Raw genomic sequence first — 25,683 nt, 5'->3', positions numbered from 1 at the left:
GGTGCCCTCTAAATGGGATTCTAAATCTTCTCTCCTAGGAGATTACACATGCTGTGACTTGGTTGTAAAAATAAAGGAATGTAAGAAGAGTGAGGACCCCACCACACCTGAGCCCTCCCCAGCAGCACCCTCGCCAGCACCCCGCGATGGAGCAGGGAGCCCTGGCCTGTCCGAAGACTGTTCTGAGTCTCAGCAAACGCCTGCAAGATCTTTGACCTTGCAAGTAAGGCCTTCTGTGTGTCCTGGCTTGATTCCTGCCAAAGGGAGAGATTTCCTAGGGAGTCCGTGAGCACACAACCTCACTTGCACCTCTGAGGCTGGAAACCTGATTTCACTTTGTAGCAGCTGTGTGACTGGGCAGGTCCCCTAAGCTTTCTGGGCCACTCTGTCACTGTTTGAATAATGGAGATAATGACACTGACTCCTCCAGGTTAGAATGAAGATCAAATACTATCAGTAGTGACAGTGACAGCAGCAGTGATGGATGCTCCAGCATTCCACAGGTCACTTCCTAGGCATCAGTGCCTCCAATCCATGCAAGGCTCCCAGGAGGTAGGAGCATATAGGGGCTCCAGATCTCAGTGTCTTCAGATGAGGACACTGAGCCTTTGAGAGGTGAAGTTGGCCAAGGTCACATGGTCATGAATGGAGGGATAGGAAAGTTTTAGTTTGGCATCTTTTCCCAATTGTTTTATAAAATGTAGTATGCACACATTTTATAAAGTTTAAAAAAATACAGAGAAATAAAAATTAGGAAGGCAAACAACCTCAGAGGAATCCTCTGCTAACTGTATTGCACAGCTAGCCACACCTTCTTGGAAGGCACTTAATAAGGTTGCAAATCTCCCTGCAGTTGCAGTTGTGGAGATGGCTCCATTGGCTGGCTCCTGTACCCAGGGGGCCTCGGTGGGACCTGGGTGAGGCATTCATGGTGCCCCCAAAGTCTCTAAGGCCATTCTTGGTGGGGTGGACAGCCAAGGCAGCAGCTAAACCTGAGCCACCAGGCTGTTCCTAGGGGTTATCTCTTTAGGCATGGAACTCTCTTGAAGCTTCAGCACATCCAGTGACTTGTACCTTGTGGTTCTCTGTTCCTGGTGGCTGGCACCATGTGGGGAGCTGGCCAAGAAGACTTCTCCCCCAGTGTAGCTGCCAGGGACACATATGTGATACAGACTGAGCCCACACTTCTTCCGCCTGGGCACTCTGAGCTCCCAAGGAAGAGGAAGGGGGCAGAGGAAAGTTTCAGTCATGGCAGCATGCCCAGTGAGCCTTTGCTGAGCATATACATGCAGGACTCCTACTGTGTGAGTGATGCATTGTCAATGAGACATGGCCCATGACTTCCTGGAGCTCACAGCCTAGCACGGAGGTAAACATATGACTCACTGTTGCTCAAGCCCATCGGTGAAGCACCATGCTCTGGCTCAACAGGGCATTTCAACAGGGATTCCTGGGGTAGATGGAACTTGAGCCAATGGCTATGGGTGGTACTTCAGGCTGGGGACAACTTGAGCAGAGACACTCAAGGAATAGGAAGTTAAGACCATAAAAGGCAGTGCAGGAAAAGAATGGGGTTCCCGTGGATAGGGTGTTACCATGTGATCTACCAAACTACCATGAGCCTCAGTTTTTGCATCTGTCAAATGGAAAGAAATATTCCTGCCTTCCTGAACAGTTGTGGGACTCCACGAGGTGATGAATACACATCAAGCACCTAGCCCGGCATCTGGGATGGAGCAGAATGGCAGTTAGTCTTGTTCAGGAGACTTGTGTGGGTGGCTTAGTGCATGGAGGTGGGAGTGGAGACATAGGGACTTCTGACATGGTTTGTGGAGCTCACAGAACTTTCTGTATAGGCAAAGGTTTCCTCCCAGCTCTTTCTACCCAGGAGGAGGAGCTGTTTCCTTCAGCCGCAGTTGTGGTGCCTCCTGAAAGAGCACGTTTTTCACGCTGAGTGGATGATCTGTGTCTGTGCTTCTTGGGGCTTCCAAGTGCAACAGAAGCAAGTGACTCAGCACCTCCATGCCCTCCACTCCCATGTCTCTTTGGAATACAGAATGTAGGGCTTTTGGATCGTCTTTTGGGAACAAATGACTCAGCAGGGTAGAAAGATGAATGGGCAGACGTTGCCTCTGCACTCCCAGCTTTGATGCCAGTTGCCGGTCAATCCTGCTGCAGCAGGGGCCTCGGCGCTGGCCAGGCCTGACCCCCAGGACCTGTGTTGTCAACATGCCTGTTACCTTCTTTACACAAAGATGTGCAAGAAAAGCGTGACGTACTTTTGCACCGTGGCTTTTGGTCTCTGAGTGTTGTGCTTGCCATCGGCTTCTTGGCTGCATCAGACAGATGCGTTGCCTTTCTGTGTCACTGCTCTTAAAAATGACGTATTTTCTTTGCTTTGCATAGGAAGCACTGGAAGTTCGTAAGCCTCAGTTCATTTCTCGCTCACAAGAACGGCTGAAGAAGCTTGAACACATGGTCCAGCAGAGGAAAGCCCAGCGGAAGGAGGACCTGAGGCAGAAGCAGAGCCTCCTTCCCATCCGCACCAGCAAGAAGCAGTTCACGATTCCCCATCCTCTGAGTGGTAAGCTGCAGGTGGCTTGTGGAGACTGGAAAAGACCAGGGATGGGGGGTTCCTGGAGCTGGAGGCTTCACTCAGGGGTGATGGCTCCAAATGATGCCACTGACATACGCAGAACCTGTTATGGCTCCAAGTGGCTGACCCTCAGCATCATAAATCCTGTTCTTGGAGCCAGCCCATTTTGAGAGATCACATATGGGCATTGAGCTCAGCAGAAACAACTTGGGACACCAATTTACCATTACAGCTGGGACAGAAGCCACACCACTGTAGCAGCCAGGGTAGCAAGTTCAAATTCTTGGCTCCTAATAGATATTTGCAAGAGATCCCCTTTGCCCTTTATAGATTGCAAAACAGATCTCGGGGTGAGAGGTTGACTCCAGCTTGTCTATATCAACATTCCTCATCTTGAAACCCCTTTCCTGCTGTGAGCTCAGAGAATACATGGCTGGCTTCCCAGCACTGTGAGGCCAGTGTCACACTGATCCTGTGAGGGAGGGCACTTACTTACTCACTGGAGAGGGAGTTATCAAGACCCTTCTCTGGGTGCCATGCTGGGAGCAAGACTAACCTCAGTCCCTTCTTCATGGAGCTTATAAACAGACTATTAAACTAGCAAGAATAACAAAAAGAAATGAGGGTAAGGATGGGGGACATCAGAGCACATACTTAGTGCCTGCCAACCCAAATCTTAAAATCTAGAGGCCTGGAGAAACCCCAGTTTTATTCCTTTGGATAGAGGAATGAGAACTTTCTTCCTAGGAAAATGTTTTGGCCCCTAGGAGGTGAAATCATGAGTATAACTCAGAATAAAAGTCTTTTGGGGAAATAACCATGTTCAATAAAGTGCAGCTTAGCAAACATTACCAAGATCTTATTCTGGGTGCCTGGGGGACTGAGGAAAATGGTGTTGTAATAGAATTCCTGTGAATCTCCCCAGTCTATGGGCAGGCTAAGTCTCCTTCTCTCCACCAGAACTCTGCTGGTGGAGCTGTCTAAAGACCTCGGGGAAGGATGAATTTGAATGCATCCTTCCCTGTGGCTAAATATTTGACAAGACACCTGCTGCTCCCTCCTCATGACAAGTTCCAGTATACTAACGAAAGGGGATGTGCAAAGAGCTCCCCATGGGAAAATGTGTCTCTAACCAGTGCTATAAGTCCATTGGCAGATAAAGGTTCAATGGGGATATAGTTTCCAGGAAGCTTTTTCATCTCTGGCCTAATAAAGAGAAAACTGGGTTCAGGCACAGACTTCTCAAGTTGCTGTGAGGACCAAAGCCAGCACCAGGAGACCCCTGGGGCCTTCAGTGCCTCCACTGGCCCTGGGCAGTGTTGGGTGATGGTGCCCAGGCTGTGTGGGCCCCTCAGCCTCAATAGTTCTGAAGATGCTACTTGAGAGCATGGTTAGTTACCAAATTTGTGGTAGGCAATTATAGAATGATGCCACTTTAGAGCTCAAGACTCACATACACACACAAAATGGCACGGAGGGCTTCCTTTTCAGTCAGGTCCCTTCACTTTGGGAAGAAACAGAGACCCAGAGACCTTAGGGAACCTGTTCAGTGTGGTGCTGCACTGAGCTTCTCCTCTTCTGGGCCAGCACCTCCCGGCTGTGCCATTCTGCCAGCCACAAGTGGTCTGGAACACCATCATCCCAAGCGCCAGAGGCAATGTGGCCTTGGCCATCTGTACTGATTTCCTAGGGCTGCTGTGAGAAATCACCAAACACAGGGGCTTAAAAGAACAGGAACTGGCAGGGCCCAGTGGCTCACACCTGTAATCCCAGCACTTTGGGAGGCCAAGATGGGTGGATCTCTTGAGCCCAGGAGTTCAAGACCAGCCTGGGCAACATGGAGAAACCCTGTCTCTACAAAAAGTACAAAAATTGGCCAGGTGTGATGGTGCATGCCTGTAGTCTCAGCTACTTGGGAGGCTGAGGTGCAAGGATCACCTGAGCTTCGCTAGGTCATGGCTGCAGTGAGCCATGATCACACCACTTCACTCCAGTCTGGGCAACAGAGCAAGACCCTGTCTCAGAAAAAGCAAAATACAAAAGCAAAAACAAAAACAAAACAAGCCCAGAAACTTACTTTCTTGCAGTTCTAGAGGCCAGAAGTCAAAACCGAGGTTTCCACAGGGTTGGTTACTTTCTAGAGGCTCAGTGGTCAATCCCGTGTCCAGCCTCCCTCCCTGCTCCTGGCGGCTTCCTGCAATCCTTGATGTTCCTTGGTTTGTAGATGCGGCACTACAGTCTCTGCCTCTGTCTCCACATGGCCATCCTCCCTGCGTCTGTGTCTCTATGTTCAAATTTCCTTTTCTCATAAAGACAGCAGTCATTGGATTAGGGCTAACCTCACCAGTCTGACCTCATTTTAACTTGATTACCTCTGCAAAGACCCTATTTCCAAAGAAGTCACATTCAGAGTTATGGGGGATTAGGACTTAAACATATCTTTTTGTTGGGGCGACATCATTACACTCATTATATCATTCAACTGTGGTGTTTGCCCGAAACAAATATCCTTACAAGTTCACATTCTTTTAAATGGAAGTCTTAAAATTGTATGTAATAAAAGGTAACCAGGCTCAGTTCAGAATGTTAACTGAGTACCTTTTACTCCCCACATTCCAAGACAGTCCTGGCAAGCAGCATGCTCTCAAAGTGGGACTTGGCCAACGTGGGTTTTATGGCCACCCTGACCATCCCTGCCGTATTTATGTGTCGATGAGAGCTTTACTTTTGGGTTCGTTTGTGTTAGGTCAGTGAAATCAGACAGCCTCTGAAACCAGAGCCTCATACAAGCTCGGGCAAGTGAGAAGAAATGTTTAAGGCCCTATTAAACAAGTCTGCAGTACACATCTTGTCTTCAGCCTGTCTGCTGGCAAGATGATAAAAGCAAAATGCAGATGTTTTTCTTACTTGCTAAATTAGTTCATAAATCATATGCGTGAACGAGCTTTGGCTACAGTGTCAAGGCGTCTGTTAAAAAGAAGACTCCTATTTGCTTTTGGTGCTGGGGTAGCTGCCTCTGATCGGGGCTTGTCAAGCAATCTTGGCTCAGGAGCAGAACCTGAAAGGTTCAAGTGGGAGCCCCGGCAGCTGACAATGCCAGAGAAGCCAGTCCCTGGACTTGCAGGGGATGACTGTGTTGAGTCAGGGGACCCGCTGTACTTCATGGTAGCTAGTGAATTCTGAGCACCTTTGAGACCAGGGGAAGAGTGCTGCATGTGGGTGAGTGTTAATTAGGGTTAGGACTCCTTGTTTGGAGGCAGGAAAATTTTCATGAACAACTGGGAACTCTAGAGGGACCAGGAAGTAGCATCATCAAGGTCATAGCTACAGTCTGTACCTGTCTTGACTATCTCATCACCTGTGGTTTGAACTCTCAGAGCCAATAAATACAATGCGTAAGTCTCTCTCCTCACCCGGGTGCCACCTGAGCCACCTTCCCACGTCTCTAGCAGTGACAGAAGGAACTTCTTTGTCCATCTCTTCAGCGTACCTTGTTTGAGAACCCACACAGTGCTAGGCACAGTCCCTAGTCTGCCCACCTTGTGGGGAAGCAGGCGGGTGAAGAGGCAATGGTCATAGGATTCTCAGAGTGCCATGAAAGGAGTTTGCCAAGGTTGTTGTGGAAACTCATAGGTGGTAGCCTTGCTCCCACCCTGGGGAGGAACGTTCCCAACATGGGGGAGAACCATGCCAATAGGGCAGGGTGGGTGAGGAAGGGAACACGCAGTGAAGAAAGGAGGCTGGGGACATGCAGTTTAGCTATGATTGGATGGTAAAATGGGGATGGGCGGGGAGGCAAAGGGGCCAAAGAGGAGCCCAAGGAAAGATGAACTGTAGATGCTGCTAAGTGTAACCTTGTTCTGAGGTCAAAAGCAAGGCTGGGAGCTGGTAGTGTAGCTTCAGGTACAACATGATGAGGGTGGGGCCTGGGCAGGGCAGTGGTATAAGGAAGGTAGTGGATACCAGGGGTTCTCAGGTAGAGGGATCAGTGGGAGGTGGTGATTGTGAGATGTGGAAGAGGGAGGCTGACACCCAGGCATGCCAAGGGAAGGTGGCAGGAGAGCTGGCCTTTGATTTCAAGTCTCCGACATTAGGTACACTCCAACCCAAGGGCCTCTCTCCTTCCCAAGTCAGGGCTCTACCTGTGCAATTCACCAGAGTTGCCTGGGAGTGATAAGCAAGGCTTCCCCATCATCACTATGCAGCTCCTGGGGTCCCAAGTGGATTGGGTCATGTTCAAAGGCCGGCCATAACCTGGGAATTAGCGTGTTCCAGAATTTGTCATTGCTCTGCCTTACAGGATGAATCCAGAGCAGGATAGGCTAAAAATAAGTGTGAAGCATCAGGCACAGCCCCTGCAGGTCATAGTGGGGACAGTACCTGCAAGTATTAGGGGGTATAGTCCCCGCAGGTGGGAGGGGTACAGCCCCTGCAGGTAGGGGACACAGTCTCTGCAGGCAGTAGGGGTACAGCTCCTGTAGGTAGTAGGGGTAAACCATAGCTTATAGGCAGTACGGGGTCAGCCCCTGCAGGTCGTAGGGGCACAGCCTTTGCAGATTGTAGAAGGTACAGCCCTTGTAGGTAGTAAAGTTACAACCTCTGCAGGTCATAGGAATACAGCCCCTGCAAGTTGTAGAGGGTATAGCCCCTGCAGGCAATAGGGGGTTCAGCATTTGTAGGTCATAGGGGTACAGGCCCTGAAGGCAGTAGGGGTGCAACTCCTACAGGTCATAGGGGTACTGTCTTTGCAAGTCATAGGGATACATCTTCTGCAAGTCATATGGGTACAAGCCCTGCAGGTCATAGGGGTATATCCCCTGCAAGTAGTAGGGGGCAGAGCCACTGCAGGCAGTAAGGATACAGTCCCTGTGGTCATAGGGGATGCCACATCTGCAGATTGCAGGTGCTCAGTCAGTGGCAGTCTTCACCATGCCCCATTGACACAATTGTGCCTGTATCCTGTGCCCACTGCAGCTCCTCGAACCTGGCCCTGGTTATCTCCTTCTAGGCTGGGGGCCCAGCTTCAGAGCCTCCCTGGATTCCATCCCTCACCCCAAAATCCAGACGCCTCTCAGCCTGACTCTGCCCACTCTCAACCTTTCCAGTTGGTCTCATTTCCTGTCCTTCCTTCACTCCAAAAACACTCATGATCAGGGTTCCCAAACCACCTGAGAGAAGCCTGTCTGTTCCTCCTCTCTGTGCTATAAAATCCTGCCTAACCTTGCAAGCCCCTCTCAAGTCCAGCCTTTTTATTCATCTCTTACCCCCAGACCCTTTCCTGTGCTTCCTGTAATAACTGAGCTGGGCTCTGGTGGCTTTCATCTCTCAGCCGAGCACTTTGTTATGAATTACTGCTACTGCCTGTACTCACTGCAGTTAACTCAGCCTGACAGTGCTCAAACTCAGCCCACGTTGCCCCCTTCTGTTCTCAGCTCATTTCCCCCTCTGAGGACGCCTGTCCGGGTCCTCTTCCATGGCTCTCTCAGTTTGTCCCCTTAACCTTCGAATGTGTAGAAAACCCTTCAGGAACATCCCCTTCTTCTACAAAGCCGTCCTGATTCCCATCCTTCTTTCTCCCCTTCACTCCCTCTCCTCTCCTCTCACTCCCATTTGAACACTCTTTGCATCTTGGTATTCTTGCATCCCTCCAGATCACCTGCCTTCTTCCCTTCTTCACTTTGGCTTAAGGTTGTGTGGTTGTGTTGGAAAACCTTCTAGATTGTAAGAGCTGGTGGGCATACTCCACACCAAATCACTGCGAGAGGCCCTGCTGCATCTAGCACAGCAGACTGAATTCATCCAAATTGCATTATCCGCACTTCCCAAGGTGAGCCAAGTCAGAGCCATTCAAATCATGCACGAGTAGAGGAATGGAATTCTCTGGAAGGCACGGCAGAATTCCTTCTCCAACAAATCTTCTTTCCCTGATGATTCTTGGTTGGAGCAAGTATTAAAATTAATTTGGATTCCCAGAGCATCTAGCTGAAGATGCGACCCAGGAGACAGGAGACAGAGGTGGCAGTTATCTCAGTAATAAAGATTTGCTCACTGAGCACAGGCTGCACTATCCTTCCTGTTGACCGGTCTGATCTCAAGGCTCTCATTCTCCATATAGCCTTTAATAAATATTTGGGGCTAGTTCTCCTGATATTACTCACAAGAGAATTTTTAAATGTGCTTATCAGATAAAAATAAATTTTTACTTTATCAGTCTACAAAGAAAACAGGAAGCATGAATTACTGAAAAGGCTGTTTCCCCAATTCAAAGACATTCACTTGTACACTTTTATTATTGTCCTTCACAGACACTGTGAGGTTTTATGTTTTTATTAAGATACTTGGGAAGAAAAGACCAATTTATGTCTATTGATTAGAAGTGGATTTAAAGGACAATTGTACTTCCAATTAAAATAATGTAAGGTAAAAACACTGAGTTTCAGAATGATAAGGAAAATGACTTTATGAGGAGTTACATTTCCCAATTGCCTTGATTTTATTTTCCAAGTGATTTCCCTTTATACTGCACAAAGCAGCTGAGTAATAAACCTTGCAGTGACACCACAGATATAAATCTACTTGGCAACAAGCATAAAGTTTATTAATAATCTATAAATCGCCATATTTTATGGTTCTCTAAAAAATGCTGGGAAACCCTGGAATTGGAGCAAACGGTGAAGTTACACTATCAGACTTGTACTGGATGTAGCTGTTTTATGGTGAGGTTGTGATTCAAGTCATTGATAAAATTCCTTTAAATGAGCAGTTTAAACTTGTCATTAAAAAAACCATACGCCCACGTTTTGTTTCAACTTTAAGATTTAATTGACAAATAAAAGTCGTATATATTTGTGCTGAATGACATGATGTTTTGATATATGTACATATTGTGAAATTATTAAATGCAGGTAACATATCCATCACCTTGCATACTTTTGGTGAGAATATTTAAGATGTATTAATACTACTCCCAGTAATTTTCAAATATAAAAAAGCTTTATTATTAACTATAGTCACCATGCTCTACAGTAGGTATCCAGAATTTACTCATTCAGTTTAGCTAAAACTTTGTACCCTTTGACCAGCATCTCCTGGATTCTCCCCTGCTATCCCCTGGTAACCAACATTCTACTCTCTACTTCTATGAATTTGATATTTTTAGATTTCACATATAAGTAAGATCATACAGTATTTGTCTTTCTGTTCCTGGTTTATTTCACTTAGCATAATGTCTTCCAGGTTCATCTCTGGTGTTGCAGATGACAGGATTTCCCTCTTCTTTAAGACTGTATAGTATTCCGTTGCATGTGTATGTATGTGTGTGTATATATATATCAATAGACTATGAGAAATTGTGTGTATATATACACACATATGTGTATATATACATTATACATATATGTGATATATATGTACACACACATATGGATATATATATATCAATAGACCAATCAATAGGCATAAATTGATCTTTTCTTCCCAAGCATCTTATAAAAACACAACACCTCACAGTGTCTGTGAAGGACAATAATACACACACACATGCACACACACACATATACACACACTACATTTTCTCTATTCATTAATCTGTTGATAGACACTTAGGTTGATTTCATATCTTGGCTATTCTGAATAATACCGCAACGAACACAGGAGTGCTGATACCTCGTCAACATACTGATTTCTTTTCCTTTAGATAAATTCCCAACAGTAGGATTGGTCATTCTATTTTTGCATTTTTGAGGAATATCCATACTGTTTTCCATAATGGCCGTACTAATTTACATCCCCACAGCAGTGTGCAAGTGTTCTCTTTTCTCCACATTCTTGCCAACACTTGTTATAGTTTGTCTTTGATAATAGCCATACTAACCGGTGTGAGGTGCTAGCTCATTGCAGTTTTAATTTGCATTTCCCTGATGGTTTGTGATGTTGCGTGTTTTCTCATATACCTGTTGGCCAATTTTTTTTTTTTAGAAATCTCTACTCAGGTACTTTGCCCATTTTTTAATTAGGTTATTTGCTTTCTTGCTATTGGAAGTTGTCTGAGTTCCTTATATATTTTGGATATTAACCCCTTATTGGACATATGGTTTGCATATATTTTCTCCCATTCTACAGGTTGTCTCCTCATTCTGTTGATTGTTTCCTTTGCTGTGTAGAAGCTGTATAGCGTGATATAATTCCATTTGTTTGTTTTTGGTGTTGTTGCCTGTGCTTTTGAGGTCACATCCAAAAAATTATTGCCCAAACTAATGCCACAGAGCTTTTCCTCTGTTTTCTTCTAGTAGTTTTAGAGTTTCAGGAATTACATTTAACTCTTTAATTCATTTTCAGTTCATTTTTAAATATGGTGTAAATTAAAAGTCTAATTTCATTCTTCTGCATGTGGATATCCAATCTTCCCAACTCAATTTGTTGAAGAGATTTTCCTCTCCCCATTGTATATTCTCAGCTCCTTTGTCAAAGATTAGTTGAATGTAAATACATAGATGTATTTCTGGGCTTTCCAGTCTGTTCCATCAGTCTACTTGTTTTTATGCCAGCACCATGCTGTTTTGATTACTATGACTTCATAAGAGATTTTAAAATTAGATACCGTGATGTCTCCAGTTTTATTCTTTTTGCTCTCAATCGCTTGGGCTATTTGGAGTCGTCTGCAGATTCATATGAATTTTAAGATTGCATTTTCTATTTCTGTGAAAAATGTCATTGAAATTTTGATAGGTGTTGCATTAAATCTGTAGATCACATTGGGTAGTACAGATATTTTAACAATATTCTGCAAATCTGTGAGCATGGAATATCTTTTTACTCTTACTTTTTACTTCTTGTCTTTTAATTATGTCTTCAGTTTCTTTCATCAGTGTTCTATAGCTTTTAGTGTACATATATATTTCACTTCCTCAGTTAAATTTATTTCTATGTATTTTATTTTTGTGATGTCAGTGTAAATGGGATTGTTTTCTTGATTTCTTTTTCATATAGTTCATTGTGTGTGTACAGAAATGCTACTGATTTTTTTTTTTTTTTTTGAGATGGCGTCTCTGTCACCCAGGCTGGAGTGCAGTGGTGCAATCTCGGCTCACTGCAACCTCTGCCTCCCAGGTTCAAGCGATTCTTCTGCCTCAGCCTCCCAAGTAGCTGGAACTACAGGTACATGCCACCATGCCCGGCTAATTTTTGTGTCTTTAGTAGAGACAGGGTTTCACCATATTGGCCAGGCTCGTTTCAAACTCCTGACCTTGTGATCTGCCTGCCTCGGCCTCCCAAAGTGCTGGGATTACAGGCATGAGCCATCGCGCCTGGCCCCGCTACTGATTTTTGTATGTTGATTTTGTATCCTACTATTTTACTGAATTTGTTTATTATTTCTGTTTTGTGGTGGAGTTTTTAGGGGTTTCTACATATAAGATCATGTCATCTGCAGAGGTGAGTTCACTCTTTCTTTCCAACGTGAATGCTTTTATTTTTTTTCTTAAATAATTGCCATAGCTAGGACTTCCACTACTATGTTGGATAGAAGCAGCAATAATAGGTATCCTTGTTTTATTCCTGGTCTTAGAGGAAAAGCTTTCAACTTTTCATCATTGAGTATGATGTTAGCTGTGGGCTTATTATATATGGCCGTTAATGTGTTGAGGTATATTCCTTCTACACCTAATTTGTTGAGAAGTTTTACCATAAAAGGATGTTGAATTTTGTCAAATGTTTTCTCAGTGTCTTTTGAGATGATCATATGGCTCTTGTCCTTTATTCTGTTAATGTGGCAAAGCACATTTATTGATTTTTGATACGGAACCATCATTGCATCCCAGGCATAAATCCTACTTGATCATGGTGAATAAGTCTTTTAATTTGCTATTGAATTTTGTTTGCTAGTATTTTGTTGAGGATTTTTGCATCTATGTTCATCAGGGGTATTGGTCTGTAATTTCCTTTTTCTTAAAATGTTCTTATCTGACTTTGGTGTCAGAGTAATGATGGCCTCATAAAATGAATTTGGAAGTATTCCCTCCTCTTCAATTTTTTTGAAAGAGTTTGAGAAGGATGGTATTAATTCTTCCCTAAATATCTGGTAGAATTCAGCCATGAAGCCATCTGGTCCCAAGCTTTTCTTTTAAAAAGAAGATTTTACAATTTCTGATTCAATTTCCTTACTCACTGTGACTCTGTTAGGATTTTCTATTTCTCCACAATTCAGTCTTGGCAGGATGTATATTCTTAGGAATTTATTCACTTCTTCTAGTAGTATCCAATTTGTAGGTGTATAATTATTCTTAGTAGTCTCAGTCTCTTATAATTCTTTGTATTTCTGTGGTATCAGTTTTCATGTCTCCTCTTTCATTTTCATTTGATTTGTCTTCTCTCTTCAGTCTAGCTAGAGATTTGTCAATTTTGTTTATCTTTTCAAAAAAACAATTTTCAGTTGTGTTGATCTTTTCTATTACTTGTCTAGTCTCTCTTTCATTTATTTCTTCTCTGAACTTTGTTATTTCCTTCTTTCCACCAACTTTGGGCTTAGCTTGTTCTTGTTTTTCTAGTTCTAGTTCTTGATTAGTCCCTTGAGGTGTAGCAGTAGGTTGTTTGAGATCTTTCTTCTTTCTTAATGTAGGCATTTACTGCTATAAACTTCACGCTTAGAACTGTTTTTGCTGCATTCCATATGTTTTAGCATATTGTGTTTCCATTTTTGTTTATCTTGAGATATTTTTAAATTTCTTTTTTTGATTTCTTCCTTGACCCATTGGTTGTTCAGGAGCATGTTGTGTAATTTTCACATATCTATGAATTTTCAAAAATTCCTCCTGTTACTGTAGTTTCATACCATTGTGATGAGAAAAGATACTTGATATGTGGCCGGGTGCGGTGGCTCAGGCCTGTAATCCTAGCATTTTGGGAGGCCGAGGCAGGGGGATCATGAGGTCAAGAGATCGATACCATCCTGGCCAACATAGTGAAACCCCGTCTCTACTAAAAATACAAAAAAAAAAAAAAAAAAAAAAAAAAGAGCCAGGCATGGTGGCAGGCTCCTGTAGTCCCAGCTGCTTGGGAGGCTGAGGCAGGAGAGTCACTTGAACCCCGGAGGCGGAGGTTGCACTGAGCCAAGATTGCACCACTGCACTCCACTCCAACCCGGAAACAGAGCAAGACTCTGTCTCAAAACAAAAGCAGCAACAACAACAACAACGAAAAGATACTTGATATGATTTCTATCATCTAAATTTATTAAGACTTATTTTTTGGCCTAACATATGATCTATTCTGAAGAATGTTCTATGTACACTTGAGAAGAATATTTATTCTGCTGCTGTTAGATGGAATGCTCTGTGTATATCTGTGAAAGCCACTTGCTTGGATGTATCGTTTAAGTCCAATGTTTTCTTGTTGATTTCCTTCAAGATGATCTGTTCATTGCTGAAAGTGAGATACTGAAGCCTTCCACTACTATTGTATTGTTATCTCTCTCTCCCTTCAGATCTATTATTTGCTTTATATATTTAAGTGTTCTGATATTAGATGTATATATATATTTGTAATTGTTATATCCACTTGATGAATTGACCCCTTTATCATTATATTATGACTCTGTCTCTTTTTACAGTTTTGGACTTAAAGTCTATTTTGTCTGATATAGCTATAGCTACCTCTGCTCTCTTTAGGTTTTCTTTTATCGGGAATATCCTTTCTATCCCTTCACTTTTTGTCTATTTATGTCCTTAAAGCTAAAGTGAGTCTCCTGTAGGAAGCATATTATTATTAGGTCTTTTTTTTTTTTAACCCATTGAGCTACTCAGTATATATGCTTTTTTGATTGGAGAATTTAATCTATTTACAGTCAAGGTAATTATTAATAGGTAAGATATTACTGCTGCCATTTTGTTGTTTTCTGGTGTGTTTTTTAGATCCTTTGTTCATTTCTTCCTTTGTCGATGTCTTCCTTTATGATTTGATGGTTTGATGTAGTAGCATGCTTTGGTTTATTTCTCTTTTGTCTGCTGTGTATCCACTATAGGTTTTTACACTGTGGTTACTATTAGGCATACATAAAACATCTTGTAATTATAACAGGCTATTTTAAGCTGATAACAACTTAATTTTGATTTTACACAAAATTCTGTACTTTTACTTCCTCTCCTCACATTTTATGTTTTTGATTTTACAGTTTACATATTTTTATATATTTTTTTCTTAACAAATTATTGTAGCTGTAGGTGTTTTAAATAGTTTTGTCACTTAACCTTTCTACTAGAGATATAAGTGATTTTTATCTGACCATTACACTATTAGAGTATTCTGAATTTGACTGTGTACTTACTTTTACAAGTAAGTTTTATATTTTTGTATGTTTTGATGTTAGTAATTAGTATCCTTTTGCTTTAGTGTGAAAAACTTCTTCAGAATTTCTTGTAAAGCAGGTTAATGGTGGTGAACCCCTTAGCTTTTGTTTTTTTTGACAAAGCCTTTATCTCTCATTTCCAAAGGGCAGCTTTGTTAGGTAAGGAATTTTTGGTTGACAGATTTTTTTCCCCCCAGCACTTTGAATATATCATCCCACTCTTTTCAGGCCTGAAAACTTTCTGCTGAGAAATCAGCTGATAGCCTGATGGAGGTTTCCTTGAATATGAGGATCTTAATTTCTTTTGCTGCTTTTAAGATTCTCTCTTTGTCTTTGATTTGTGACAGTTTGATTATGATATGTCTTGGTGTAGTCTTCTTTGGGTTGAATATGATTAGAAACCTTTGAGTTCCTGTATCTGGACGTTTATATCTTCCCCAGATTTGGAAAGCTTTTTGGTACATTTTTAAATAAGCTTTCTGTCCCTTTCTCTTTTCCTTCTTAAACTTCTTTAAAAAAAAAGATTTTATTTTTCCACAGGTTATTGGAGTACAAGTGGTGTTTGCTTACATGAGTACATACTTTAGCGGTGATTTGTGAGATTTTGATGTACCCATCACTCGAGCAGTATATGCTGTACCCTATTTGTAGTCTTTCACCCCTTGACCCCCTCCCATTCTTCCCCCTGAGACCCCAAAGCCCATTGTTTAATTCTTATGGCTTTGCATCCTCATAGCTTAGCTCTCACATGGTTTTCCATTCCTAAGTTACTTCAGTTACAGTATTAGTCTCCAATTTCATCCAGGTCACTGCAAATGCTGTTAATTCATTCCTTTTTATGGCTGAGTAGTATTCCATTGTATATATATATATATATATATACACCACAGTTTCTTTATCTACTCATTAATTGATGGGCATTTGGGTTGGTTCCATGATTTTGCAATTGCAAATTGTGCTGCTATAAACATGCATGTGCAAGTATCTTTTTTGTATAATGACTTCTTTTCCTCTGGGTAAATACCCAGTGGTGGTATTGCTGAATCAAACGATAGTTCTACTTTCAGATCTTTAAGGAATCTCTACACTGTTTTTCATAGGGGCTGTACTGGTTTACATTCCTACCAGCAGTGTAGAAGTGTTCCTTGATCACTGCATCCACGCCAACATCTACTGTTTTTTGATTTTTTTATTATGGCCATTCTTGCAGAAGTAAGGTGGTATCACATTGTGGTTTTTATTTGCATTTCCCTGGTCATTAGTGATGTTGAGCATTTTTTCATATGTTTGTTGGCCATTTGTATATCTTCTTTTGAGAATTGTCTATCATGTCTTTAGCCCACTTTTTGATGGGATTGTTTGTTTTTTACTTGCTGATTTGAGTTCATTGTAGATTCTGGATATTTGTCCTTTGTCAGATGTATAGATTGTGAAGATTTTCTCCCACTCTGTGTTTTGTCTATTTACTCTGCTGACTGTTCCTTTTGTCATGCAAAAGCTCTTTAGTTTAATTAAGTCCCAACTATTTGTCTTTGTTTTTATTGTGTTTGCTTTTGGGTTCTTGGTCATGAAATCCTTGCCTAAGCCAATGTCTAGAAGGGTTTTTCCAGTGTTATCTTCTAGAATATTTACAGTTTCAGGTCTTAGATTTAAGTCCTTAATCCATCTTGAGTTGATTTTTGTCTAAGGTGAGAGATGAGGATCTAGTTTCATTCTACATGTTGCTAGCCAATTATCCCAGCACCATTTGTTGAAAAAGGCATCCTTTCCCCACTTTATGTTTTTGTTTGCTTTGTCAAAGATCAGTGGCTGTAAGTATTTGAGCTTATTTTTGGGTTCTCTATTCTGTTCCATTGTTCTATGTGCCTATTTTTATACCAGTACCATGCTGTTTTGGTGACTATGGCCTTATAGTATAGTTTGAAATCAGGTAGTGTGATGCCTCCAGATTTATTTGTTTTGCTTAGTCTTGGTTTGGCTATGTGGGCTCTTTTTTGATTTCACATGGATTTTAGAATTGTTTTTTCTAATTCTGTGAAGAATGATGGTGGTATTTTGATAGAGATTACATTGAATTTGTAGATTGCTTTTGGCAGTGTGGTCATTTTCACAATATTGATTTTACCCATCCATGAGCATGGGATGTATTTCCATTTGTTTGTGTCATCTATGATTTCTTTCAGCAGTGTTTGTAGTTTTCCTTGTAGAGGTCTTTCATCTCGTTTGTTAGGTATATTACTAAGTATTTTACTTCTTTTGCAGCTATTGTAAAAGGGGTTGAGCTCTTGATTTGATTCTCTGCTTGGTCGCTCTTGTTGTATAGGAGAGCTACTGATTTGTGTACATTAATCTTGTATCTGGAAACTTTGATGAATTCTTTTATCAATTTCAGGAGCTTTATGGAGGGATCTTTAGGGTTTTTGAGGTAAATGATCTTATCATCAGCAAACAGTGACAGTTTGACCTCCTGTTTACTGATTTGGATGTCCTTTATTTCTTTCTCTTGTCTGATTGCTCTGGCTAGGACTTCCAGTACTATGTTGAAGAGGAGTGGTGAGCGTGGGCATCCTTCTCTTTTCCATTTCTCAGAGGGAATGCTTTCAACTTTTCCCCATTCAGTATTTTGTTGGCTGTGGGTTTTCATATGTGGCTTTTATTACATTGAGTTATGTCCCTTGTATGCTGATTTTGCTGAGAGATTTAATCATAAAGTGATGCTGGATTTTGCCAAAAGCTTTTTCTGCTTCTATTGAGATGATCGTATGACATTTGTTTTTAATTCTGTTTAGGTGGTGTATTATATTTATTGACTTGTGTATGTTAAACCATCCCTGCATCCCTGTTGTGAAACCCACATGATCATAGTGGCTTATCTTTTTGATATGTTGTTGGATTTGGTTAGCTAGTATTTTGCTAATAATTTTAGCATCTGTATTCATCAGGGATATCAGTCTGTAGTTTTCTGTTTTGGTTATGTCCTTTCCTGGTTTTCGTATTAAGGTGATGCTGGCTTCATGAATTAGGGAGGGTTTCCTTTTTCTCCATCTTCTGGAATAGTGTCAATAGGATTGATATCAATTCTTCTTTGAATGGCTAGTAGAATTCTGCTCTAGAATTCATCTGTGAATCCGTCTGGTCCTGGGCTTTCTGTGTTGGTAATTTTTAAATTACCGTTTCAATCTTGCTGCTTGTTATTGGTCTGTTCAGGGTATCTAATTCTTCCTGATTTAAGCCAAGAGGGTTGTATTTTTCCAGGAATTTATCCATCTCTTCTGTGTTTTCTAGTTTATACACGTAAAGGTGTTCATTGTAGCCTTGAATGATCTTTTGTATTTCTGTGGTATCAGTTGTAATATCTCCCATTTCATTTCTTATTGAGGTTATTTGGATTTTCTCTCCTCTTTTCTTGATTAGTCTTGCTAATGGTCTATCAATTTTATTTATCTTTTAAAAAACCAGCTTTTTGTTTCTTTTATCTTTTGTATTTGTGTATGTGTGTGTTTCAATCTCATTTAGTTCTGCTTTGATCTTGATTATTTCCTTCTGCTGGGTTGGGGTTTGATTTGTTCTTGGTTCTCTAGTTCCTTGAGGTGTGTGACGACGTTAGAATGTCAGTTTGTGCTCTTTCAGTCTTTTTGATGTAGGCATTCAGGGCTATGAACTTTCCTCTTAGCACTGTCTTTGCTGTATCCCAGAGGTTTTGATAGGTTATGTCACTATTGTAATTTAGTTTGATGAATTTTTTAATTTCCATCTTGATTTCGTTTTTGAGCCAATGCTCATCCAGGAGCAGGTAATTTAATTTCCATGTATTTTCATGGTTTTAAAGGTTCCTTTCGGAGTTGATTTCAAGTTTTATTCCACTGTGGTCTGAGAGAGTCTTGATATAATTTCAATTGTCTTAAATTTATTGAGGTTTGTTTTGTAGCCTGTCATATGGTCTATCATGGAGAAAGTTCCATGTGCTGTTAAATAGAATGTGTATTCTGTGGTTGTTGGATGAAATGTTCTATATATATATATATATATATATATATATATATATATATATATACACACACACAATAATAGTAGGGAACTTCAATATTCCATTGACAGCACTAGACAGGTCATCAAGACAGAAAGTCAACAAAGAAACAATGGATTTAAACTATACCTTGGAACAAATGGACTTAACAGATATATATATATATATATATATATATATATGAAATATTGAAGTTCCCTACTATTATTGTGTTGCTGTCTGTCTCATTTCTTAGGTCTATTAGTAATTGTTTTGTAAATTTGGGAGCTCCAGTGTTAGATGTATATATGTATAGGATTGTGATATTTTCCTAAAATTGGATAAGGCCTTTTATCATCATGTAATGTCCCTCTTTGTCTTTTTTAACTGCTGTTGCTTTAAAGTTTGTTTTGTCTGATGTAAGAATAGCTACTCCTGCTTGCTTTTGGTGTCCATTTGCATGAAATGCCTTTTTCTACCTCTTTAGTTTAAGTTTATGTGAGTCCTTATGTCTTAGGTGAGTTTCTTGAAGGCAGCAGATGGTTGGCTGGTGAATTCTTATGCATTCTATAGTTCTATATCTTTTAAGTGGAGCATTTAGGCTATTTACATTTAATATTAGTATTGAGATGGGAGGTACCATTTTATTCATTGTGCTGTTTATTGCCTATGTACCTTGGTTTTTTGTTTTTTGTTTTTGCTTTTAAAATTGTATTTTTGTTGTATAGGTCCTGTGAGATTTATGCTTTAAAGAGGTTCTGTTTTGATGTGTTTCCAGGATTTGTTTCATGATTTAGAGCACTTTTAGAGTTCTTTTAGTGGTGGCTTGGTAGTGGCAAATTCTCTCATCATTTGTTTATCTGAAAAATACTGTATCTTTCCTTCATGTATAACACTTAGTTTCACTTGATACAAAATTCTTGGCTGATAATTGTTTTATTTGAGGAGGCTGAAGATAGGGCCCCAATCCCTTCTAGGCTGTAGGGTTTCTGCTGAGAAATCTGTTATTAATCTGATAAATTTTCCTTTATAACTTACCTGGTGCTTTTGTCTTGGAGCTCTTAAGATTCTTTCCTTCATCTTAACTTCAGGTAACCTGATGACAATGTGCCTAGGCGATGATCTTTTTGAGATGAATTTCCCAGGAGTTCTTTGTGCTTCTTGCACTTGGATGTCTAGGTCTCTAGCAAGGCCAGGGAAGTTTTCCTCGATTATTCCCCCAATATGTTTTCCAAACTTTTAGATTTCTCTTCTTCCTCAGAAATGCTGATTATTCTTAGTTTTAGTAATTTAACATAATCCCAGACTTCTTGGAGGCTTTGTTTATATTTTTTATTCTTATTTGTTTGTCTTTGTTGGGTTGGGTTAATTCAATGCCTTGTCTTTGAGCTCTGAATTTCTTTCTTCTACTTGTTCAATTCTATTGCTGAGACTTTCCAGAGCATTTTGCATTTCTATAAGTGTGTCCAAAGTTTCCTGAAGTGTTGATTGTTTTTTCTTTATGCTTTCTATTTCCTTGAATATTTCTCCCTTCACTTCTTGTATCATTTTTTGGGTTTCCTTGCACTGGGCTCCACCTTTCTCTGGTGCCTCCTTGATTAGCTTAATAACTAACCTCCTGAATTCTTTTTTCAGATAAATTAGGTATTTATTCTTGGTTTGGATCCATTGCTGGTAAGCCAGTGTGATTTTTGGGGGATGTTAAAGAGCCTAATATGTTTTGTCATATTACCAGAGTTCCTTTTCATGTGGGTAGGCTCTGTCAGAGGGAAGGTCTAGGGCTGAAGGCTGTTGTTCAGATTCTTCTGTCCCACAGGGTGTTCCCTTGATGTAGTACTCTCCCCCTTTTCCTATGAATGTGGCTTCCTGAGCGCTGAGCTGTAGTGATTGTTATCTCTCTTCTGGGTCCAGCCACCCAGCAAGTCTACCAGGCTCCAGGCTGGTACTGGGGGTTGTCTGCACAGAGTCCTGTGATGTTAACCGTCTGTGGGTCTCTCAGCCATGGATACCAGCACCTGCTTCAGTGAAGGTGGCAGGGGAGTGAAATGGACTCTGTGAGCGTTCTTAGCTTTGGTGGTTTAATACTCTATTTTTGTGCTTGTTGGCCTCCTGCTGGGAGGTGGCACTTTCTAGATAGCATCAGCTGTGGTAGTATGGAGAGGAACCGGCAGTAGGCAGGGCCCTAGAACTCCCAAGAATATATGCCCTTTGTGTTCGATACCAGGGTGGGTAGGGAAGGACCATCAGCTGGGGGCAGAGCTGGGCATGTCTGAGCTCAGGCTCTTCTTTGGAAGGTCTTGCTGCGGCTGCTGTGGCGGATAGGGGATGAGGTTCCCAGGTCAATGGAGTTACTTACCTAGGAGGATTATGGCTCCCTCTGCTGAGTCATGCAGGTTGTCAGGGAAGTGGGGACAGCCAGCAGTCACAGGCCTCACCCAGCTCCCACGCAATCCAAAGGGCTGGTTGCACTCCGTAATAGCACCAAGTCTGTTTCCAGGCAGTGGACAAGCAGGGCTAAGAACTTGCCCCAAGCTACCTGCCGCCCAGCTGTGAAAGAAAAGGGCTTTAGTTCTTCCCCTGCCTGTGGAGTCTGCATGCAAGATTCATGCCCTCCCCTGAATTCCTGCCAGGAGGCTTCTTAACTGGTTCAAATTGTTACAAAGTTCAGCTGGAGGTTTCCTTCTCCCTGTGGCATTTTCCCTGCACCTCTGGCTGCCCTCCCAAAGGATTCCTGTGATGCTTGGCAGGAATGGCCTGCTTGGGGACTCAGTGAGCTCCCAGGGCCTTTCCCGCTGCTACCTCTACCCCTGTATTTTGCTTGGCCCTTCTTAAACTTCTGTAATGCAAAAGTGAGCTCTTTTGATGCTGTTCTATAAATCCCATAAGCTTTCTTCATTCATTTTCATAATTTTTTTCTTTGACTAGATATTTTTAAATAACCTGCCTTTGAATTCACAGGCTCTTTCTTCTGCTTAATTTGTCTGTTAATGCCTTTTACTTCCTTTTAAATTTCATTTGTTATATCCTTCAGTTTCAGAATTTCTAATTGGTTCCTTTTAATTATTTCAATCTCTCTGTTAAACTTCTCATTTTATTCATATATTGTTTTCCTGATGTCATTTTTTTTCTGTGTTCTCTTATAGTTGGATCAGCTTCCTTAAAACAATTATTTTGAATTCTTTGTCAGATGATGCATAGAGTCCTATTTCTTTGGGGTCAGTTACTGGACAATTATCACATTATTTTGTTGGTATTATGCTTCCTTCTTGTTGTTTTTCTGTTTTGTTTTGCCTTGCAATGATGTCTGCACATTTGATGGAGCAGTCACCTCTTCCAGCTTTTAAGTACTGGTTTCATTGGGGGAAAAAAGTCATCCTTTTTGGGTGAGTGTGAGAACATTGGGTGGAGTGTGGCAGTTCTAGGTCTAGTGAGGGTGCAGAGGCATAGCTGTCAGCTGAGGTTGACAATTGCCAATATTGCAGACGTCCTCAGTGGCCAAGGCTGTGGATGTCTACGGCAGCAGCAAGGGTTCTTAGGGTCTTTGATGGCAAAGGCTGCTGGGATCCTCCTGATTGCTTTTTCTACCACCAGGAACGTTATGGCCAAGGGGGTTTCTCTTGAACTGGGTCTGGCTGATAGGCGCATTCATGGTGATGTTGACATTGGTGTACGATGTATGGTACCAATGGAGTGGCCATGAAACCAGGGTCTGGGGCATGGGTACATATGGAGGGAACACAACTCCAGGGTCTGGGGCATGGATACATATGGAGGGAACACAACTCCAGGGTCTGGGGCAGCAGTTGTATAGGTTCTCAGGCATCGGCACTCCCACTGCCATGTTGGTAATGGCACACACACACACTTTTAAGAGATGCCATGTGGCCTGATTGTGTATGCCAGATACACACACACACACACACACACACAACATACATACACACATGTATACATATACACACACATTAAATTCTATTAACAGGTACAAACAATTTTGAAAACTGAGAACTAGTTATAGCTGTTAATATCCTATAGTTGATCTCATTTTTCTTCTTGGTTTCCTCTAGCCAAATACTAACGACAATGCATTCCAGAGGAGAACCAGTTCCTTCAGATTCCTTTGAAAAATATGTTATTTGTCGTATACTGTATTCTTTTAGAAGTGTGTAATGCTCAGTGTATGTTAAAAGCACTGATAAGTCCTACAGAAAAAAAAAGCCACCTTAAATTTGTTTAATCCTGTTTTTCCTAAATTTCCTTTTGGACCTTGAAATGTTTTTATCTAATTCTTGATAGTCTGCTTTGGAAACATTACTTTAGGAATCTGCAATGCTTTGCCAATGAAACCCCAACTGGAGTTTCAATTTGCCATTTTCCATAGAAATCTGGCACTGTCAGAAAGTGGTCTTACCCTCATTACCTGCATCCTCTATGTTGAGCAATTCCAGGAAGGGATGGCTGAGGGTCCTGGGGTTCCTCTGGGCAGTAGGGTTGGGTGCAGGCTTCCATCTGTGGCTAGCTTTGCCTCACAGGAAGCTTGCCTAACAATGCACCTTGCCTGGAGCTGTCTCCGTGTGTGTACCCCGGCATCTGTAACAATGCCACTTGGTGCCCAGCACAAAGTCATCTGGAAAAAGTGGAGTCAGTCACATTCCCATTAGAAAGTCTTCACAGATGTCACAATGTGAAATAACCACAGAAAATAAGATCAAGGGGGAAGTCTCATCCATACCAATTATATGAGAGAATAGCTGGAAGAAGCAATAAACTGCCATAGAACTAACTGCATAACAAGGACACAGGCTGGCCTTCCACAGCATTGCCTTCACATGCAGCTGCTTCAGACTATAGCCTCAGGGACCCTGCAGCTGGGGGCCTGTTTGTTGCCATGGTATGGAGAGGTTCTGTAAACATTCAAAGTAGGGTTACCAGATTTATCTAATGAAAATATAGGATGCCCAGTTAAATTTGCATTTCACATAAATAATGAAGCTTTTTTAGTATAAATGTGTCCCAAATACCATATGTCCCATTACTTTATGTCCCATATTTATGCTACAAAATATTTGTTGTGGATCTGAAAGGCAAATTTAACTGAGTAGTCTTTATTTTATCTGGCAATACTTCCTCAAAGCCTCAAAACCCATGTAGGGATTTAACTCTTTTCCTTCTCACTCTTACTACATTCTATCAAGGTAACAGCGGTCCTCAAACCCAAGCAGGGGTCAGAATCACCCAGAAAGCTACTGAAGCCACTGACCACTGGCCTAGCCACAGAATTTCTGATTTCGATGACCTGGTATAGGAACTGAGTATTTGCATTTGTAACAAGTCTCCAGGTGATGTTGATGCAGCTGGTTCAGGGACTGGAAGGTAACTGGAAGCCACACAGATGTTGACATTTATGTGAAAATACAATCCCTCCTTTGAGAACCACAACCTTATATCTTTTGCAGAGAATAAAAATCCCACTGGTTCCATCAGTACTCAACTCTCAGGTCTCTTGTCTACTTACTTTGAGACTAGAGGTAATTTACCTACACACAAAACCCCTGTAAAGAGGAGAGAAGACTAGCTTGAGTAGGTTGCTGTAAGGATGAATTGAAACATGAATTTGGGGGATAGGTGCCCTGTGTAGAGAGGAACACTGGGGAAACAGTGGTCGTTGGCATTGCCATTAGCTTCTTCATGGTTAATAGAGCACCTTCATATGGACCATTCCCAACACAGTGGTTCATACCTGTAATACCAGCATTTTGGAAGGCTGAGGTGGGAGGACAGCTTGAGGCCAGGAATTTAAGACCATCTTGGGCAACAAAGTGAGACCACCCCCATCTCTACAAAAAACAAAACAAAAATAACAACAACAAAAACAACAAAAACCCTGCTATTCAGGGGAGGCCGAAGTGGGAGGATCACTTGAGCCTGAGAGGTCGAGGCTGCAGTAAGCCATGATTGTGCCACTGTACTCCACCCTGGGCAACAGAGTGAGACCCTGGCTCAAAAAAGAAAAGTTTTTAAAAAATGATTCTGCTCCCGCAATGGGTGCAGAGGAACCAAATCTTAGCACAAGTAGCTTGTCCCAAAGCACATAGCACCAAGCAAAGGCCTAAGGTGACTTGCCAGGTTTTTAGACTTATACGTAACAAGACTTTATCATTTTATGGAGGCTCAGGCAAGCCAAAGAAATCATCATATATACATCATAAAAGTATGATGTTTAATTTTCTAATGCTCATTTTTTTTTGTAAAAAGAAAGAAACTGAATTTCCTGTTGTGTTTAGTGAGGTCATTAAGAATTTGAATCATTAAATCCTAGAGACTGGGTATAGCTGCCCATCTTTCAGCTGATTTGCCTTCAAATTCAACAATGTGCTCATTGCAGAAAATAGTCTGTACCACTTTGTCAGCCACTGCTGAGCTCCCCTAGGAGGAAATGCATGTTTTGGGCAACTGACAGGAGTCCTCCGCTGGGATTCATATTGTAAGTTTCTGGTCTTGGGTAAGAGTCTGGTTAGTTTGAGAGTCTCTGATCCTGTCAACATTGGGGTACTGAATTTGCACAGGTAGAGCTGGTTGTTCCGTGGGTCTTTGGCACTACGGGCAACCTGAATTAGGAGGTGATGTGTGCCAGCCTTCCTTAGCAGTTCCTATAGGTTTTATGGGGAACCCTTTGTCTCTTACTGGATCTCTTGAGGAGTAACCAGCCAAGAAATAAAAATATTAAGCACTGGGTCTCTT

General features: G+C 41.6%; 1 protein-coding gene and 1 long non-coding RNA gene across 15 annotated transcripts in view, besides 4 other annotated features; one reads left to right on the top strand and one right to left on the bottom strand.

The window, feature by feature from the left end:
- C10orf90 (chromosome 10 open reading frame 90) overlaps nt 1-25,683 on the top strand; it is a 245,697-nt gene that overhangs the window by 209,070 nt on the left and 10,944 nt on the right. For all 14 annotated transcript variants that reach the window (NR_146939.2, NM_001350922.2, NM_001350921.2 and 11 more), the window contains 2 exons: nt 39-223; nt 2,407-2,584. Coding sequence is in view for 13 of the 14 variants with exons in the window: in NM_001350922.2 (NP_001337851.1) it covers nt 39-223; nt 2,407-2,584 (363 nt within the window). In the remaining variant the exon portion in view is untranslated. The remainder of the gene's footprint in view (nt 1-38; nt 224-2,406; nt 2,585-25,683) is intronic.
- LOC728158 (uncharacterized) overlaps nt 667-25,683 on the bottom strand; it is a 35,028-nt gene continuing 10,011 nt past the window's right edge. Inside the window, exons 4-7 of the long non-coding RNA NR_148989.1 lie at nt 23,363-23,569; nt 21,299-21,489; nt 4,674-4,900; nt 667-2,609 (exon numbers count right to left, since the gene is read on the bottom strand). This is a non-coding gene — a long non-coding RNA (uncharacterized LOC728158). The remainder of the gene's footprint in view (nt 2,610-4,673; nt 4,901-21,298; nt 21,490-23,362; nt 23,570-25,683) is intronic.
- Nucleotides 833-2,032: an enhancer, noted in NCBI's record as "CDK7 strongly-dependent group 2 enhancer chr10:128148161-128149360 (GRCh37/hg19 assembly coordinates)". NCBI's record gives its function as "activates an origin of replication core promoter dependent on BRD2, BRD4, P300/CBP, MED14 and CDK7 cofactors, with strong dependence on CDK7, by STARR-seq in HCT116 cells {active_cell/tissue: HCT116}" and the evidence as "EXISTENCE:reporter gene assay evidence [ECO:0000049][PMID:35650434]".
- Nucleotides 20,726-21,925: an enhancer, noted in NCBI's record as "BRD4-independent group 4 enhancer chr10:128128268-128129467 (GRCh37/hg19 assembly coordinates)". NCBI's record gives its function as "activates an origin of replication core promoter dependent on BRD2, P300/CBP, MED14 and CDK7 cofactors, and independent of BRD4, by STARR-seq in HCT116 cells {active_cell/tissue: HCT116}" and the evidence as "EXISTENCE:reporter gene assay evidence [ECO:0000049][PMID:35650434]".
- Nucleotides 20,789-21,288: an enhancer, noted in NCBI's record as "H3K27ac hESC enhancer chr10:128128905-128129404 (GRCh37/hg19 assembly coordinates)". NCBI's record gives its function as "activates a minimal SCP1, AML or CMV promoter by ChIP-STARR-seq in naive and primed H9 embryonic stem cells {active_cell/tissue: H9 hESC(naive and primed)}" and the evidence as "EXISTENCE:reporter gene assay evidence [ECO:0000049][PMID:30033119]".
- Nucleotides 21,289-21,790: an enhancer, noted in NCBI's record as "H3K27ac hESC enhancer chr10:128128403-128128904 (GRCh37/hg19 assembly coordinates)". NCBI's record gives its function as "activates a minimal SCP1, AML or CMV promoter by ChIP-STARR-seq in naive H9 embryonic stem cells {active_cell/tissue: H9 hESC(naive)}" and the evidence as "EXISTENCE:reporter gene assay evidence [ECO:0000049][PMID:30033119]".

The sequence above is a fragment of the Homo sapiens genome, chromosome 10 (assembly GCF_000001405.40).
Source record: "Homo sapiens chromosome 10, GRCh38.p14 Primary Assembly".
Lineage (NCBI taxonomy): Eukaryota > Metazoa > Chordata > Mammalia > Primates > Hominidae > Homo > Homo sapiens.
The sequence above is the reverse complement of the archived record's forward strand: the minus strand, read 5'-3'. Positions and strand labels throughout refer to the sequence as shown.